The 18,903-nt window shown below is 41.8% G+C and overlaps 1 protein-coding gene across 2 annotated transcripts in view, besides 5 other annotated features; it reads left to right on the top strand.

The window, feature by feature from the left end:
• The window catches only part of MAML3 (mastermind like transcriptional coactivator 3), a 437,432-nt gene that overhangs the window by 323,643 nt on the left and 94,886 nt on the right, over window positions 1–18,903 (top strand). The window lies entirely within an intron of this gene.
• Window positions 4,445–4,985: an enhancer, noted in NCBI's record as "H3K4me1 hESC enhancer chr4:140746711-140747251 (GRCh37/hg19 assembly coordinates)". NCBI's record gives its function as "activates a minimal SCP1, AML or CMV promoter by ChIP-STARR-seq in naive H9 embryonic stem cells {active_cell/tissue: H9 hESC(naive)}" and the evidence as "EXISTENCE:reporter gene assay evidence [ECO:0000049][PMID:30033119]".
• Window positions 4,986–5,527: an enhancer, noted in NCBI's record as "H3K4me1 hESC enhancer chr4:140746169-140746710 (GRCh37/hg19 assembly coordinates)". NCBI's record gives its function as "activates a minimal SCP1, AML or CMV promoter by ChIP-STARR-seq in naive H9 embryonic stem cells {active_cell/tissue: H9 hESC(naive)}" and the evidence as "EXISTENCE:reporter gene assay evidence [ECO:0000049][PMID:30033119]".
• Window positions 5,073–5,367: a silencer, noted in NCBI's record as "tiled region #693; HepG2 Repressive non-DNase unmatched - State 21:Repr, and K562 Repressive non-DNase unmatched - State 21:Repr". NCBI's record gives its function as "represses a minimal TATA promoter and a strong SV40 promoter by Sharpr-MPRA in HepG2 and K562 cells {active_cell/tissue: HepG2 | K562}" and the evidence as "EXISTENCE:reporter gene assay evidence [ECO:0000049][PMID:27701403]".
• Window positions 13,652–14,219: an enhancer, noted in NCBI's record as "H3K27ac hESC enhancer chr4:140737477-140738044 (GRCh37/hg19 assembly coordinates)". NCBI's record gives its function as "activates a minimal SCP1, AML or CMV promoter by ChIP-STARR-seq in naive H9 embryonic stem cells {active_cell/tissue: H9 hESC(naive)}" and the evidence as "EXISTENCE:reporter gene assay evidence [ECO:0000049][PMID:30033119]".
• Window positions 14,220–14,789: an enhancer, noted in NCBI's record as "H3K27ac hESC enhancer chr4:140736907-140737476 (GRCh37/hg19 assembly coordinates)". NCBI's record gives its function as "activates a minimal SCP1, AML or CMV promoter by ChIP-STARR-seq in naive H9 embryonic stem cells {active_cell/tissue: H9 hESC(naive)}" and the evidence as "EXISTENCE:reporter gene assay evidence [ECO:0000049][PMID:30033119]".

The following is an 18,903-nucleotide window of genomic DNA, read 5'->3' as shown; positions in this document are numbered from 1 at the left end:
TTGGGAGGCTGAGGCAGGAGAATGGCGGGAACCCGGGAGGCGGCGCTTGCAGTGAGCCGAGATCGCACCACTGCACTCCAGCCTGGGTGACGGAGCGAGACTCCGTCTCAAAAAAAAAAAAAAAAAAAAAATAGCACAGCGTGCAAAAGTATTTATTGATTATTTTAATATGAACTAGATTTCCAGAGATATAAATTGTATAGGATCATTGATTATTTTGAAATTGCAGTTATCTGATATAGCCAGGATGTACTGACATTTTAGAGAATCTTTGGGGAGAAAGGACTGTCAAGGTCCTCCACTTAACCTCTTGCCAAGAGCAGGAGTCTCCTCCAAAACTCTTTGATGAGATGGCCGTGGAGTCCTTGCCTGTCATCCAGTTTCATTTTTTGGATATGGAGTGATTTGAAAGTCCTTCCTTGCACTCAGCTGAAATCTATCTCTATATAACCTCCACTTTGTTCCTACGTTGTGACATGGAGTAAATCTACCCCTTTTTCATAGGCAACCTCTAGAGAGCTAACAAAAGCTTTCATATTTCTCTAGCTTCTCTTTCCCAGCTCAGACATGGCCACTTCCTTCCATTATTCGTTACGTTAACATGACCATCTGACCCATTGTCACAGAGGCTATCCTCTTTCTGACATGCTGATAATAACTGATATTTTTTTAAAAAGTTATATTCCCAGATCTGTGTATAAAATTCCAAATGTCATTTGACCAATACAGACTTCAATAAAAATTAGCAAAACTTGTTTGCTGCCTAAACGTGCTTGAATCCATTATAAACCTCACATAACATAACATAAACCACATACAGACAAGATTTTCCTAGCACAGCACAAGAGCAGTTAGCATTTGTGAATCTATTTGGGTATTAATACTTTCCTGAACTGGTAAGATTTGTATTTTTCTTGTCATTGTCATTCTTCCTGCTTACTCTGCCAGTATACAAGTCACTAATGCAAATAGGAGCAGAATTACTGTGGAGTTGCCCATCACTGCACAGTGGAATCCAGACCCCTTGGTATGTTCAGCTTCCTCATCTGCCTCCTGGCTTCATCTCCTTCCCCTTCCTCATAACATCCGCTGCGATTTACCACGCCAGTTCCTCAAACACAGGCTCTTCATGGCTTCACACCAGTTATTTCTCTACTTGGAATGCTTTGGCCACACTTGATCTGACTTAAAAACTTCTACTAGTCCTCAGTCCTTTAAGGTTTAACTCAGGAATCACCTTTTCTTTCCTTTCCTTTTCTTTTTTCTTTTCTTTCTTTCTTCCTTTCTTTTTCCTTCCTTCCTTCTTTCCTTCCTTTCTCCTTCCATCCTTCCTTCCTCCCTCCTTCCTTTCTTTCCTTTCCCACTTCCTTCCGTGCTTCCTTCCTTCTTTCCTTCCTCCCTCCCTTACTCCTTCCTTCCTTTCTCTTTCTTCCTTTCTTTCCTTTTCCCCTTCCTTCCTTCCTTGCTTCCTTCCTTCCTTCTTTCCTTCCTCCCTCCCTCCCTTAGTCCGTCCGTCCGTCCTTCCTTCCTTCCTTCCTTCCTTCCTTCCTTCCTTCCTTCCTTCCTCTTTCAACAGGGTCTTACTCTGTCACCCAGGCTGGAGTTCAGTGGCACAATCTTGGCTCACCACAACCTCCACCTCCTGGGCTCAAGCGTGGAATCACCTATTCTTAGCCCTATGTCAGGACCATGACAATGGGAGAGGCCACCAGATTTCCACTTCCTAACCAACCCTTGAAGTCAATGTTCCATGTATATTTTTGTTTTGTGAGTAAAGACCGTAATTCATTACAATAAAACTATGTTTTTAAAAAAAAAAAAAAAAAAAAGAAGTGCATCTTCTGCAAAGCCTTCTCTTGCCCATTTTCAACCTTCGTCTCCATGAAGTGCCTACTCCACACTGTCATTGCAACATTTATCATTTATTATGTTGTATTTAACTATTTGTTCATTTGCTTGGCGTCTCTAGACTTTCAACTCCATGATGCTCAGGGCTTTGTTTATTCCGTGGAGTTCCACTATCCAGACAATGCCTAGTCTTTTAGTAGGATTCAATGTGTATGTGATATCTGTACAGGTCCACTAGGACACTTAGCTCTCTCTGTCTAAAGGGATGGACAAAGAAGTTCTATCAAATGCTTTGCTCAAGAACACCCTGTCCTATTAGTGTAGTAATACCATTAAAAAGAAAAGTGAACTTTGGTGACATGTTTGACTTGAATTTTTTTGTTTTGCTTTGTTTTATGCTTTTTAAGAAGCTCAGGCTAGATCCTGGTGTCCTAACATCAAGGCTTTCTGACCATGTGGAGCATCCATGTCACTGACTATCACAAATGCTATTACAGCTCCATCCTAAGCCATGTTATAATTGTTTTTTTTCTAAATGTTAATGGGTTTATGATTAACTATAATTGTATGTAGGAACCTACATAGAGGACTAATTATAGGTGCCTATGCACTCACCTTTTAAATCCCTACTATGTGCAAGTGTGTCAGACAAATAACATCTTGGCAGCACCGTAATGACTATGAATATAATCAGAAGACGAAATGATGCTGGATTCTTCAGTTACAGCCTCACTTTTTCAAGAGTTGACACACCATCACTGTATTTATCACCAATTAAATTTCCTTATAGTAGTTACTTGCAGTAATTTTTGAGGCAATCACCTCAGCTCAAATTGCCATAGCAAACCACATCATCTTACCAAATAGAATTATTATCAGCAGTCATCATCCTCATCAATTCTTTATTAAAGACTCATTTCTCAAACCATTTTAAATCGTGGCTTAGAGTAAGTCATTTATAACCACATTTTGGAAATAGGCACATTATATTTCCACTTCATAAATATGTTTTATTAGTAATGAGTAGTATAGTATTAGATTACTATTAGTATTCTCATCATAGGTTGGAAAAATGCTTAATTAACAAAGATATTGGATTGGAAAAAAATTGACTCTGGGCATATTTCTTCTTGACCAAATTATTTTCTGTTTTTTCCCCCCTAGTCCTTTGTAATTTTTAATTGCATTCACCTATCCCAGAGACTGTGTTTCCAGGAATCTGCATAGAGAAGCTGGAATGCAATAGAAGCACAGGTTCTAAAAAGACATTCCTGTTACTGTGTCAGGATCTTTTAGCATCTTCACCTTAACCCAGTCCACAGCTCCTTTTCAGAAACCCTCAGCAGTCAGTCTTTGTTGGTGAATGGCATTGCTGAGAACTGTTCCTATTACACATCATAGAGCAGCTAGATTCCTGTTCTGGTTGTGGTCGTCTTAAACTGGTATTTGAAATCCAATGCCGTTTTTTCTGTCACTCTTTGGGTGTCTTTATTTCTGAATACATACACCTCCCTATTTTCTATGTTCTGATTTCACCTCACTTTCCAGAAGAACAGTAAGTGCCAGAGGTCACTGTGCCAGGGAAGCCACCAAGACGCTCCTATCATGCACATCAGACTCTGTATTAACCTTGGGCACTCACAGCCCTGCTTTAGCCAGATCCTTTTCTGAATGGTCGTTACTCATTTTTACCTAGAACTTCTGGCTTACTTTCTTTTTGTCCTCAACTCTTGTTGTGATTCTTCCATTGTTTCTTATTTTATTTCATTTGCAGTGGCGCGTTTAGTTTCCCTATCTTGTATGAGAGTGGCGTTCTTTTGATTATTTTCCATTCTTTTTCCAAAGGGAGAGGGATCTTTGTGTGATGGTGCCGTATGTGTCTGCAAGGGTCGAGTCTGTGTTCTCTGAAGCAACAAACCACATTTGTGGATGTTTTGCTAACACAAAAGAGCATGGGTTTGTGTCTCAGCCTAAATGATGGAGTTCTGGACAGCTTAAATCTGAAGTGGCTTGCTGGTTCCCTAGCAGGCAATTATGTTACACTCAGGGAGCCTCTGCGCAGGCTGTTCGTATGCAGATAGTTGTCTGAGGGAACAGGAAGAGCATTCGAAATATGTGAGAGCCATGTGACAATTCCTCAGCAATTGATTGTCCACAATTGTGTCCTAATTGCTGACGCCACCAGTCTATCCATACTACCCATGTTTTGTTCAGGTGTCTTTCCCAAGGTCCCTAGTTATGCGATTCGTGTTCATAAAAGCTTCTAATATGGCCCTTCTGTTCACCCAGCAGGTGAATAATCCCCAAGTTAATAAGAAGGTAAGCACTCTTATGAACACAGCTTTAAAAGGCTTGACCCAACTCTGAATTCACACTGTGAGGGAAAACTACCCTTCACTGATACTCCTTGTGGCATACACAAGCGAGCCAGCCCATGTCCGCTTTCCAGGGTAGAAGGGACATTGACCTGGGATGCTGAGGTGGGGCCCGGGGTCAGGATGGCTCAAATGGATGCCAGGGGAGGCTGCTCAGTAACAAAGACACCGAGAGCACAATCTTCTCACGTGCGAAGGAAAAAGCTTCTGTGAATCAGAGACCCATCCTAGCCAGTGAAGAGGCCAGCCCAGCTTAGCCAGAAGATCCACGACAGATACCCCCTTCCTCCCACAGGGCTCCCATGGAAAAGCCGACAAGAAACACGAAACTGCTCCCAAAGTGATATCCCGACCCCGGGTTACAAATGAGGATTGATGTTCCACTGAGAAACTATAATGGCCTTATCACAGCAATCATCCCAGAACACCCATGCCTCCTCTCTTCTCCCTTCACATCTGACTGGTTATCTATTGTTCCTCATTGCCAGTGCTTGTTTGAAGAGCTCGGCAGCATTTGCAGGTATAAAAGAACGTGCAACTTTTTTTTTTTTTTCCTTCTTCTCTTCCTTGAAGTCATTGTCTATATTTAGGTCAGTGACGTGATGAGAGATGTTGATGTGTTTTGTACCTCGCGCTGCAAATTGCCTCTCTGGATACAGGGGAATGGGGAGGCTCTAATGGCACTGGCCTGTGCTCCGTGCCTTGCAGGAGGAAGCTACCACCCAGCTCATGGCTGCCTGCGGCCGAGGGTAGGCTCTGCCTCCTGCCACCCACCAACGTGCTGCAAAAACACACATGGCCACGGAATCTGGCCTCCCAGATTCTCTGCATGATAGACGGGACTATCTTATAAAAAGATGAGAGGGAAGGTCGTAGGAAGTTGCTTTATCCTTTACCTGGAGTCCTTATCCAGCACTCTGCTCTATCAAGTAGAAAATGTGGCCCTGATAAATCCTGCCCACAAAGGCACTGTGCCTTTTTAACATGCAAATGTTCAGCCAGAGAAAGTAAATAGACATCTCCTCCTTCAGGGAACTAGGAGACAATCACAGCCACCCCTCACCCCACCCCCAATACCGTTTCCCTTTCCTCTTCCTATTCTAAGAGAAAGAAATTCTAATTTTTTTCCCATTATTCTTTTTTTTAAGAGGGAAGGGCTTGCATTGAATTGCTCTGAAGCCACTGTCTTCTACCCCAACTTCCTCCCGTCTAGATAGGCTTCATTAATTTGATAAGCCGACACCAAAAGAGAGGGGTGGCGGTGGAAGGGGGCGGGGTGCTGCAGGAGGGGCTGCCTAGGGGCTGCCCTGAGGTTTTAGAAGATGAACTGCTAATGATGTTGAAGACGTACCTTTTCAGACTGCATGGTCCCTCTGGAAAATCAGGGTCCTTTTTTACTTATTCTGATGGTACTGCAAGAACTGAAAAATAGAGGCCTGGTTGGGATGGAGGGGGTATATGGGCTGGGGCGGGGGTGGTAAGTAGACAGATGCGTCTCCAAGGAGGAATCCGAACACGTCAGTTACACAGCTTGAAGGGCCTTTTCTTTAACAGGGTGTCTGATATTGTCATGCTAAAAAGTCAGAAACTAATGGGGGAAAATAGATTAATTTGCTAGGTCATTTATTGAACAGTCTTGCTTGATACTTACAAACTACTGAAATTAGTGCAAATTGGCAATATGAATATTTTGATCAACATCTGTGACCCTTGAATGCAAACCACAGAGCTTTTAACATGTCAGAGGCACTAATCTTTGCTAGTCCTTTCCCATCTTCTAATATGATGGAAGTTGATTATACCTAAGAGAGCCATCTGTATAATCGTCCCAAGACAGTCCCAGTTTATGCCAGTTGTCCTGGCTTGGGTGAAAAATTATATAGTTACCCTAATTATTACCTCTCAGCAACTGGGAGACGCTGAGAGATGCCCAGCTTGGGTTTGATTCTATTTTTATTCTCTGTTCTCTTGCACACTTTCAAGATCATTCTCAAACATTTACTGAAAACAAATGCGTGCGGCATTCTGAGGATAGAAAGGCATTTAAGGTAGGATCTTTTCTGATTGCAGTTAGTGGCAATATAAGCGACTTGCAGGTATAACAAAAACCTTGAATATTCTCGAATCATAGATCAGAACCATACCCTGGCTTATTTCCTTCTGAAATAAATTCCAAGCTGGGGGTGGGGTGTCGATGGTCATCAGATGTTAAGAGAAAACAACCCAGGCTACTGAACCCCCAGAATTTCTGCTTCAGTATATATTTTACTTCCTCCTCAATTTTACCAAGTGGTAGTGATTGCTTTGTGGACAGCCAGCTGCTTCGTAGAGACCAGGAGCAGCTTTGAGCCTGAAGGGTTGGGGTGAGGGTAAATATTTCAAACACGTGAACAGGTCTTGGCCTGCAGACCTATCAATTGCTTAACTAGAATCTAAATTAGAATGGCTGATAAACATTCATTTATTAAACAAATATTTATAGAGTGCCTGCTGTGTGCCAGCCACTGCTCTAGGCACTTAAATCTGTGAGCGGATAAAAAAGAATAGGAACTCTGCCCTTGTGCAGCTTACGTTCTAGCAGACATTAAGCATCATGAATGAGTGTAAATTACATAGTATGTTAGACAGTTATAAGTGCTATGGAACAAAGAAAAAGCAGAGCGGGGTGAGGGAAGGCGGAATGATGATCCAGGGCACTAGGCTTAGACGCTGCTGATGTGTCTAATTTAATTCCACCCTTGTTCTGCTGCCTCCTGCCCAGAGCAGAGCCCACATGCAAACACCAAGGACCAGGAATGCCAACACGCACATGCAGACACACAGAAGCTGCAGACCCACAAGAGAAGTGACACAGGCAGCAGTCACAGTTCATGGCCTTTGTTGCTCCAGCCCTGGCTGCCACAGCCAGTGGTACTCTGTATGTGTGTCTTTATGAAAGAGCTCAGGGTTGGAGGGTGGGCAAGGATGGTTGTAGGTCCTGCCTTTGAGGTGGAGGGCTGGCCTCTGCAGTCCCAATTCAGTTCAGGGTTCTCAGCTGGAGTTCTGGGTTTCTTTCTGCCTTTGTCAGTGGTCCATCACGTAACCTTCTGTGTGAAACTTATCTATTCCTGACAGTGGTCGTATTCATAGAATCTTAAGGTAATAATAAAATCTGACTGACTTGCATAATGAGGAATCATTTACTGATTTTCTAAGAAGGAAGAAGCCAGCAGTATGAGTTATTTAACACTCAGTGATATTCCAAAGACAAAGCCACACAATGTCCAATATATTTGGTCTATTTCATTCATCTTAAAGCTATGTGTTTTTTTCCTCCTGTCATGTGTTCTACAATTTCAGCTGAATAGGAAGGATCAAGATAAATACCCCCAGGCCCCTGCCTGGTTTTGGAGCACTTTAGGGAGAGATACCACGCAAACTATTTCTTCTGCTCTTCAGAATCAGGGCTGTGCTTCATGTAGCATGGTAAAAACGATGTCATCAATTTGGTGGAAAAAGAAAACAGAATTCTGATTCTTCTCTCCCATTCATTAACTGGAACTGAAATTGGGATTCCTGTCTTCCTCCCTGATTAGGGTTCGAGATGTGGAGCTGATTCCTGAAGTGAGCCTGTTCTGCCCAGTGCAGGCAGCCATCCTGCTAACATCTTGATGTTTGTGTGTACCTCTGCAGCTGCTTTCTTTTTGTTTGTGGTCACTCAAAGGAAGGAATGCATTCAAAGGAAGCTCCAATTCTGATGGAGCAGATGCTGTTCTTAAGTATGAGAACACTTACCCTGGCATAAAAGCCCTGCTGGTATGTCTAGCGCCAATAAGGGGACTCTTAAGACTCAAAAGCACGAGGCCTGATTCTTCCTCTACCAAACCTGTTGCCCAGAGGGGTACAGTGCGGATTTCAGGAGGCCTGATACCCAGAACTTACCCCAGAAACTCAGCATTAATCACAGAACAGGAGGTACAGCTCCCAGCAGCAGCCCAGTCACTGAGCCATTGTCTCCATGGCCTCTACTCCCATATTTGCCACAATGATAGCAATGATGATGATGATGGTGGTGGTGGTGGTGGTGGTGGTGGTGGTGGTGGTGGTGGTGGTGATGGTGATAATGATAATGATGATCCTGATGATGATAATGGTGATGGTGATGATGTTGATCCTGATGATCATGATGGTGATGATGATGGTGATTGTGATGATGGTGATAATGTTGATCCTGATGCTCATGATGGTAGTAATGGTGATGATGATGGTGATGATGATTATCCTGACTTCCAATTGCTTTACCAACAGAAAGAGCTAAGAAAGCTGTGCAAAATTTAAAAACTGGTCCCAAATAGATGGTTTGCTTCTGGTTTTATCAGCTCTCCAAATACTGAACTCCATAGGCAGTTGTGAGCATGGAAATAATCATTTAAAAAAGTAAGTAGTTCTTGGATGCCTACAATTCACATAGTTGTGAATAGTATAGTACTGGGATAAGCATTTTATCTCACTTAACCCTCACACATCTTTTGAATATGGGCACTATTGTCCACATTATGTAAATGATAAAAATTGGCCTGGCACATTTTGTTGTTATCAGTTACTCAGCTACCATGCCACAGTCAGATTTTGAACTTGGAAGTGGCCAGTGGCCAGGAAGCCTAGGCCAGCTTCCCTGGTGTTCTCCTGCTCTCAGCCTCTTCTGTTCTTCAGGTGGAGTGTGGTAGAAAGGTGTGCCCCACAGCAGGGCCTTGCTTACTTAGGTTAGCTTGCTGCCTAATACAGTGGTCCCCAACCTTTTTGGCACCAGGGACCAGTTTCCTAGACGACAATTTTTCCACAGACCAGGGGTCGGCCGGGGGGATGGTTTCAGGATGAAGCTCTTCCACCTCAGATCATTAGGCATTAGATTCTCATAAGGAGCATGCAACCTAGATCCCTCACATGTACAGTTCACAGTAGGGTTTGTGCTGCTATGAGAATCTAATGCCACTGCTGATCTGACAGGAGGCGGAGCTTAGGGGGTAATGCTCACTCTCCCGCCACTCACCTCCTACTGTGCCACCTGGTTCCTAACAGGCCACGGACTGGTAGCAGTCCATGATCCGGGGATTGGGGACCCCTGGCCTAATACATATGTTTCACAACCTTGTAACAGACAGTTCATCTAATTAATTTGAATGGAAACTTAGTGATCGGCTCCATACAGACAGAAAAATAATCCATCCCATTGTGATAACAATAGATTTACTTAGATAATAGAAGTTACTGCTTCCGATCAATTTGGCAATGGTTTTTCTCATAGCAAATTTCAAACTGTGTCACCAGATACTTGAGAAATTACTATGGAACACATGAAAAATGGATATAGAACAATTTAGCAGTATGTGGAGAGCTCCTCAAAGGTGGTCCTACTCCTTGACCTACTGATTCTACTTAAAGAAATGTTTTCCTAAGAACATAATTAGAGATGTGATCAAAAATATATGTATAAGGATGTTTACTCTAGCATTATCTATAGTGGTGAAAAATTGGAAAAAAAAAGACCTTTATGACCAAAAGTAGAGAACTGGTTAAGTACATTATGGTATATTCAACTGAAAGAATATTTCATGGCTATTGAAGTATTTTAGAAGAGTTTTTGATAACATAGGGAAATGTCCACGCTGTAATAAGTGAAAAAGATAGAATATAAAACTACATACGATCCCAATATTTTCAACAAGTGAGAATGTAAATAACTTGAGGTTGGATTTTTGGTTTAGTGAAATGAAGAATAAGTATTTGTTCCTACAACTAAGTCTGAATCTAAATGAAGAATAAGTCTTCATTCCCGTAAACTAAAGATTAGTTTCCATAACTAATCTTTCTTAAAGATTTTAGGAAACAACCTAGAGAAAATGTTGGCAATTGAAGAAACACTTTCATCAGCCTAAGTCCCCAGTGAAATGAGTGATAGGATAGTTAAATATCAGCCTTGAAACTATTAAATACTTCATGTTTCTCTTTATTTTTCTTCTTGACCTTAAAACGAATTTAACCAGAAGTTATATTCTGATAAAAGGTGATGTTTTTGTAATTTCATATTTCTTTAAAAGCAGACTCTTTCAGAGAAAAGCAGAGATATCTATGACATTCGGGTCACAGTTGCTTCACTACCATGATATTGACACAGGTTGGTCAATTGACAAACCTTTATCTGATCAGAGAAATGGCACATTAGAGATTTGCACAGCCAACATGGAAGATGTCTCATATCCACCATCCTGTCTAGTGGCAGTCATATGGATAAGGGAGGCAATTTCTTTTTTATACTACAGGTGGAAATTGGAGAGAGAGGTAGGGTATTGGAGTGCTGAGTACAGCACCATTGCCTGAATGAGAAAGCCCAAGTCATCAAAATACTATCTTAATACTACGGGAATCAGAGCGGAAGAAAATTAGTGTGTTCTTCAACACATGGGAAAACAGCTATAAATGAGAACCATGTATGTCCTGGAAGGACTTTTGTCATAAAGTGTAAAATATCAACACTCATGGTCAGTTAAAGAAAGTCTTCAGATCTGGGTAGGATTAGATTGGAGAGAAATCTGAGTCAAGCATTTGTTAAGAAGCTACCAATTTATACTTAGCTATTTTTGCTAATCTTGTTTTCATAATCATATCTCTGAGAACACTTGGGCGTTTAGAAAATAGTGATAACTACGTGTGACCACTTATCGGGTGGCAGTATAGTCCAATTGGAAAAAAATACCCAAGAAGAAGTTAAAAGTGAGCTGAAGGCCAGCCTTGCAAATCTAGCCAATCAAATGATTGTAGACATCACACCTGTCTTCTTCCCTAAGCCAAATCTGAGAAAAAAAATAAGATATCGAAGCAGCTTCATGCAGGGGATACAATTGGAGCCATGCTACCTATGGAACAAAATACTAGCCTCTTAGCATTATATTCAAGATTATATATAATCTGATTCCAAATACCTTTCAGCTTCCTCTCTGTCTCACCATGTCTCTCATCACTGCAGGAACACTGTTCTTTCTCTTTCTCTTGAGTGAGCCACACACTTCAGGGAGCCAGAACCTCAGCCCATTAAGCTCCCTCCTCCTGGACTGGCCTGAAATGCTCTGCTGCTTTTCTTTGCTTGTCAAGATCACTCTCCCCGCTCCAGGCCCAATCAAATACCACTTCAGCCAGAAATTATCCATCCTTTTCCATACCTGTAGGTTTTATACCTGCCTTCATTTCATGCTTATTTTATTCGGCCTTACATTTTTGCTGGCTGTTTGTTTCTCTCCCCTATCGGATCATTATTCATTTGCGTGCGCCTCTGATGCCAGCCAAATGAGTTCATACAATAGGCACTTAATAAGTGTTTGCCGCATTTAGTCAAGTATAATATGCTGTATGAATATTAAAATGTTTGATACAGGCCATATGTACAACCAGATTTTCTAGACAAAATATATGAAGAAATATGACCTTGGGACAGAATATTTGAAATTGAACTGATACTACAAGACCCAGGTTGCAAAGGCTACTGTAATCCATAATAGTAGTGAATGTTTTGGGGTATTTGCTTCATTCTAGGTATTACACTAAGTTCTTTCCATATAATATCCCATTTGATCATCCCAACACAAGGAAGTGGGCCTCATAGCAGGCACTAGTGTCTTTTGTAACAACTTCCTTCGTTCTGACAATGACAATTTTTCTCCAACTCTCATTGGTATTCTGTAGTGTTTGATGATTTTCCTATTCCTGGGGAACCTCTAAAATGTATCAGCTCTTAGGAGGATGGACTTCTCCTAAGTAAAATAGTCATGAGTAGGAAGGAATTGTGATATGACCTCAATTAGTTAGAAAAAATCTCATGGAAGAGATTAGTCCTGCTTTAGCAAATATTTATGAGCACACACTATGTGGCAAAGTACTTAGTAAACACTGGGGACAGAAAACAGAGATGCTGCCTAACCACAGGCACAGGAGTTTAACCACAAAAACAGACATTAATGAAATAATCACACAGATACATAATTACAGCCCATGATGAGGACAGGTGCTGTGAAGGAAATGTGTAGACAGCCATGAGCATGTCTAAGCTAGCCTAGTGAGGGAGGTGCCAGTCAAGGAAGGTTTCTCAGAGATCCGGAAAACCAATAGACGGTAGCCGGGGCAGTGATTCTCCAAGCGTGGTTCTAGGACTAGCAGGATCAGCATCACCTGGGGACTTGTTAGAATTGTAAATGATCAGGTCCCACCTCAGGCCTACAGTATCAGAAATTCTCAGGAGTGGTGCCCAGTATTGTGGCATTTTAACAAACCCACCAGGCAATTGTGATAGACCCTCAAGTTTGAAAACCACTATACCAGCAGATGAGATGAGCTGGGGATGGTGCTGAGGCAGAGCATTCCAGCTACAAGAAGTCATAACTACAAGAAGCAGTAAGTGAGTCCCCAAGGCTGGGAGGAACACAGTGAGCAGGTGGAGCTGCCAGGAGGCCAGTGCAGAGAGCCAGAGGAAAGTGGGGTGGGGCAAAGCTGGAAGACATACTGGTCAGATGGCTTCAGCGTTGGTGGTAAGATTCTGCCCACTCTCCTGAGAGCTGTGGAAAGTCACTGAAGAGTTTCAAGGAGGAGTGTGATAGGATCATTTTAAAGCATCCCCCTAACCCGGCATAGAAAACTGATGGAGGGGAGTAGATGTGAAGAGATTCATTTGGAGGTGACTTCAGTCCTCTGATCTGAAAAATCACTGAATGGAGGGATAGGACATGTAAACAGAGGGAGGTGATATATATGGAGGAGGTGACAGTGAAAGGGCTTTGGCAATATTTGGAAATGGGGATGGAACCTAGGTTTCTGGCTTATGAAACCAGATTGACGACAGTGGTCCCAGTCACTGACATACAGAAGGTGGAGGTCATGGGTTTCATTTGGATCATATGGATTTTGAGGTATAACCTAGACCCTGGCAGAATTTGCATGGATGAAAGCCACGGAAAAAAAATTATTCTCGAAGGGGAGATATGGTGACCCCTGAGCCAACAAATGGAGATGGAAGTGAGTTTTTTGATGTTTGTTTGTCTGTTTTATGATTCATCCATCCATCCATCCATTCACTCTACCTATTACACCCTTCTAAGTACATAGAAGCATTTGAACAACAGAAGAGGAAGACTGGTAGATAGGATCAGAACCAGCTATGGCAGATCTTGATTTCCAAGCTAATGGTGTTGGATCACCATTGAAGGTAGTCAGAGTGACATCATGGCAGAGGTATGTTTCAGAAGGGTCGCCTAGCACCTAGCCTGTGTTGTACACAGGCGACAAACTAGAAGGAGGAAGACCATCACAGTAGACTCTAAGAATGCAAAAGGACTCTCATTCTTTCTAATTGTAATATAAAGTTAGCATTTAGGAATGACTAGCACATTCACATACATCCATTCATTATATTCCCTCCGTGTGGCTATGTATCTTTAACCTGTATAGCCACACAGTCTGGGAATAGGACAAGATAAATGTTGAGAGCGTGGAATCTAGGTCTTTTTCTCCCTTTTAGTTTTCTAGAACCAAGCAGAGGTTAGGTATTTTAACAGATGCTAATGTTAATTAGAAGTGAAAGACCTACACTTAGTAGGCACTCGAGATCTATTAAATTGAACTGGATTGACATCAGTGGTGTCTTGAAAGAAGATGCAGCACAACACTGGACTTCTCAGGGAGACAGGGCTGAGCCGTGGGGGCCCTTGCATGAGAATTAGGACCTTGGTGACCCCCGTCTGTTCCTCCTTTCCTCTCTCCCTCCCCCACCGCTGCCATGGCGACACGTCTGGAATCACAGTAAGCCTTATACCCCAGAGAAAACAATACTCTGTTCGAATGGTGTAAGTTGGCCTCTAAGCTCACGATCTGCAGGCCCCATCCCCCACAATCAGGGGATTCTTACAAAAGGCAGCTTTTTACCAGAGGGTCGGCCGCACTGCTGCTCATCGATTTCAGCCCATTTTATCCCTCGGCACTTTCACTTGTTTGTTTTTGAACTCACACCACAGCCTCGATGCTGCGGGTTTCATTTTGGCATGAAGTTACTGATGTGACCGTCTGCATCCCCTCCGCTCAGCCCCTCAGAGCACGGTGCTTCTTTCTTCTTTGTGTCTTGTCACTGCTGTTGACTCACCACGCTGGGCTGTTGGAGCTAAACTGAATTAGTAACAATGCAATCAACATCTCTATTTTTATCTTCGCACTCCCCTCTCTTCCTCCCCTCCTGACTGACTCACCATTTCTAGGTCTCAGAGCTTGGCAGTCTTAGAATTATATTGGAGCTGGGGTGAATATATGCACAGATGTGATATTTCTACCATTCGACACAATGAGTGTTTTATTTTTTTTCCTGGTAGCACAAGGGTTCAAGCGTTAGAAGTATTATTTATTATGCTCATCGTCGTCCGTATTGTTGCTGTGTTACTGCTCAAGCTGGTGTTTATCTCCTGAGGTCTAAGATGAATTGTAGGCAAGGCAGGGAGCCAGGATCTGATTTCTGAAACTCGTCTTCAGAGGAAACTTCAGTTTTGAACTAAAACTTTTAACTTTGTCCCAGTTGAGTTCTGGAAACCTGAACTGGAATCTGAAGTATATACTAAACACAAAGTAGTAGTAGTAGTACCTTTAAAAAATGCACCATGAATGCAGAATATCTTATTCTGCCTAGGCCTCTGCATACTGATCATTGTATTAATTTTATAATTGATGGAGATAGATCTATTAAGAACCTGGGCTTTTGGAGCCCAGATTTGAATTCCTTTCTGCCAGTTATTATCTGTAATCTTGAGCAAATTACTTAATTTCTTTGTGTCTTTTCTTTTATAAAATAGAAACTTTTACCTCTCACGCAAATGTCATAGTCCATATCTCATAAAATTGTTTTAAGGATTAAATAAGCTAGTATTTATAAAGCACTTTAAAGTGCCTAGCACATAATAAGCTCTGAATGAATGTGGGCTATTATTATTCAGCAGGCCATATTTACCTGTTGTAAGAGAAATGATTCATTCCTGAAAACAGTTTCTTTTAGCAAGCACAGTACACTTCAGGATCTTACCTTCCCTTATTCCTGAATTTACAAACCATCCATGTTATGGATACTAAGTGGACACCAAGTTCCAGAACAGACCTATTTGTCTTTTATTCATAAGTCGGGCTTTCTAGCTTCCTAGTCTGCCTTTTGCATAGCCAGAATTTTAGTTTCTCATCAAAATTAGGTTTTGGCTCTCATGTGGTCTAAATCCAAGTACACTCACTTTTCTTCTCCAGATAATTATATTTTACATAGAGTGACTTTTCCTTGGCCTATCTAATGCTGCCTCATTAGACTCTAAACCCTAATGATACTCTTTCATTTCTATAGCACAGCCATGGAAATAGCATATAAAACTCTCTGTAGAAAATTCCCTTTGTCTTCCGTTGCCCAGGTTCCTCCAGCCCTACGCTCTTTACTGGGTGTGGGAAGGAAGAGCAGTTGCTGGACTATTTTGGCAAGAATCCAAAGGGAGGGTCACAAAGCTCAGATGCAGGTAGGATTTGGAAGGTCCCCAGAAAACTCCCAGCCACTGTGTGCCCCAGAAACTACATTATCAGCATTGCCTACCAAGTCTTGGTGGTGGGGGGAGGGTGTTACCCACCTTTCAGCTATCGTAGCTGTACCAAAAAGTATCTGAACCACACAGTTCATTACAGTTCGTTCATATCTACACAGCAGCCACAAATCAAGAGAAGCTTGGGCACAGATCTGTGGGAAGCAGTGCTGGGAGTTTTGAAATCGTCCCCCGTGACAGGAAACCCTCTCGGGATGGCTTCCAAAGCCTGAGGGAATTAAACACACTCGAGTCACCTTCAGTCTGATTAGGTGTTCAGGGATAACTAGTTGGCTGTTTTGTTTTTTAGTCAGTATCTTTAGCCAGCTAGTAGTTACATAACTTGAGATCACAGAGTTCTGTAAGGCATAAGCCTTATATGATAGGAAGCATCATCGCCATCCTGATTTCTGCTCTCCAAAGCTTTACAAATTTTTAGCTACTTCTTCTAGTATGAATCTGTACTTCTAAATAACGTGTTTCTGCAGTTATCTCTTGATTATTATGTTTTAGATACTACTTATCGACTTTCTACCATGGAACAGGGAGACCTACCCACAGTTCTCTTTCTGCCTCTCAGATACGCTTCCTCTTCTTCCATCTTCCTACTTATTGATATATCACAACTTTTGGTGAAATCATCATTCTGTGTGTGTGTGTGTGTGTGTGTGTGTGTGTTTGTGTTTGTGTACTGTAGCTAGCTGCATGTTGGGCTTTGATGACATTTCTGTTGCCACTTTTGCTTTTTCTGCAGTTACTGGCTCTGTTTCCTTATTTCCTTGCTCAGTTTTTTGTGGTCCTGTCCTGAAATCATTCACAGAGTCTTCATCAGAAGGGTGAATCTTCTCTCAATACATTTGCAAACATCAGGTAATCAATCCATTTCTTTTTCTTTCTGGGATCCTTCCTTCTGGAGTCCTGCATCCTTTGGCCCCTGTCTGGATGGCTGCAGAGCCGGCACCCCGAGCCTTTGCTTCACCTTGATCCTGTGGGGACCCAGTTCATGGATTCCAAGTCTTCTCTGGCTTGGTTTAGTCCCCATTTCAGTGGAATGTATTCTCTGATCACTGCCTGAGAAAGGGTACATGAGAAGTAAAATTTGGGGCCTTGCATGTATGAAAATAGCTTTATTCTGTTCACATGTCTGACCAAATAGAGGATTCTAGGCTGTAAATAACTTTCAGGAGGAATTTTGAAGCGCTTCATGCATTTTCTTCTTGCTTCCAAGGTTGCCACCAAAAAGTCCACTGCCATTCTAATTCCCACTTTTGGAAACATTTAGGATCTCTTTTATTTTTAGCTTTCTGAAATTTCACAGTGGTGTTCCCTGCTGTGGCCCTTTTTGCACCCATTGTTCAGGGAATTTTCTGGGCCTTTCAACCTGAAAGTTCATGTCCTTCAGTTCTGTGAAAGTTTCTTTTATGATTTCATTGATAATTTTATGATGTTCTCTACTCTATTTTTTCTTCTCGTTTCTGTAACTCCTGTTATTTGGATCTTGTACCTTTTGGACTGAATCCCTATTTTCTTATCTTTTTCTTTTCTATTTTTCATATTTTTTACTTTTGTTCTATTTTTGAAAGATGTTTTTAACCTAACCTTCCCACCCTTTAATATTATTCCTATTACTATATTTCTAATTTATAAGAGTTTTATTTTAATTTTCTAAATGTTTATTTTTATGCCATCCTATTCTTAACTCATAGGTTCTCCCCTTTTTTTTTTTTTTTTACATTTCTGAGAATATATTAGAGATTTTTTAAATGTTCTGTTGCTTTTATTTTCTACTTTCTCTCTTCTCTGTATTTATTTATTCGGAGTCTGCATTTTATATTAGAGGCTTTCCTTAAATGTGTGGCAATCTTTACCTGTACCTTCATTGTGAAGAGTAAGATACTAACAGCCTAACTTGGAGCCCTGTGTTTTCATAAGGACTCTCAAGCGGCAGTGATTGGCCTGAAACCCAGCTGTGGGGAATCCAAGATCTGTTAGTCATTCCTCATAGGCTGGTTAATTTCCCTAGATAGGAGTCTACTGGGCTTCTGTCTAGAAGTTGTAAGACTGGCTGCCAGTGGCTGCCAGTGTTCTTGAAGCCAAGTGCCAGACAGGTTTGGAGTGAGGTAAGATTATCCGACCACTGAATTGTAGATTTCCACTTAATTCCCATTTCTATTACAGCACTCCCAACTTCAACTGCGCTTTGTGTCCTTGTGCCAGAACTCTCTGTTTCTACTTTTTCAAAGAGTAAAACCACCAACCCTTTTAGGGTGGAGAGGGAAAAGTAGGATGGCCATGTACTATGCACGGAATGAGGGATGAGGGAGAAGGTCTCAGGGTCTACGACTTCTAATACAGAATTTCAGCTAATCGTACTGTGTTTTAGCCCCATGTGCACCTTCATCATCAGAGGTACCTAGTGCCTCCAATTCCTAGACTCTTTAAGATTTTCTTTTTTTTGAGACAGAGTCTTGCTCTGGTGGATAGAGTGCAGTAGCACAACCATAGCTCACTACAGCTTTGACCTGGGCTCAAGTGATCTTCTTGCCTCAGCCTTCTGAGTAGCTAGGACTACAGGTGCATGCCACCACACCCAGCTAGTTTTGTAATTTTTTGTAGAGACAGGGTCTAGCTCTGTTGCCAGGCTGGTCTCTAACTCCTGGTGATCCTCCCTCCTCAGCTTCCCAAAATGTTAGGATTATAGGTGTGAGCCACCATGCCTGGCACCTCTTTAAGATTATTAACATACATTAGCTAACTTCTCCTTGGCTTTCCCCCACTGAACGTTTTAATTTCAGCTTTTCCTGCTCTACTGAATTAGTTACCACACATTCATCCACTTTCTAGTTCCCAAAATTATGTTAACACTTCATATATGTTTTTGTCTCCTCTCTGACACTTAATATGTAGAGTTTTGCTTTTCAGAAAATTCTGTCTTTTGTCATTTTTGTGGAGTGTGAGAAGTAAAGTAGAAAAGAAATGGAGATAAACATGTATTCAGTCCTCAATGTTTAACTGCAATCTATGATCTGACCCTTTATGTCTAAGAAATACCTTTACCATCTATG

This window comes from Homo sapiens, chromosome 4, assembly GCF_000001405.40.
Source record: "Homo sapiens chromosome 4, GRCh38.p14 Primary Assembly".
Lineage (NCBI taxonomy): Eukaryota > Metazoa > Chordata > Mammalia > Primates > Hominidae > Homo > Homo sapiens.
This window is presented reverse-complemented; position numbering and strand designations above follow the sequence as displayed.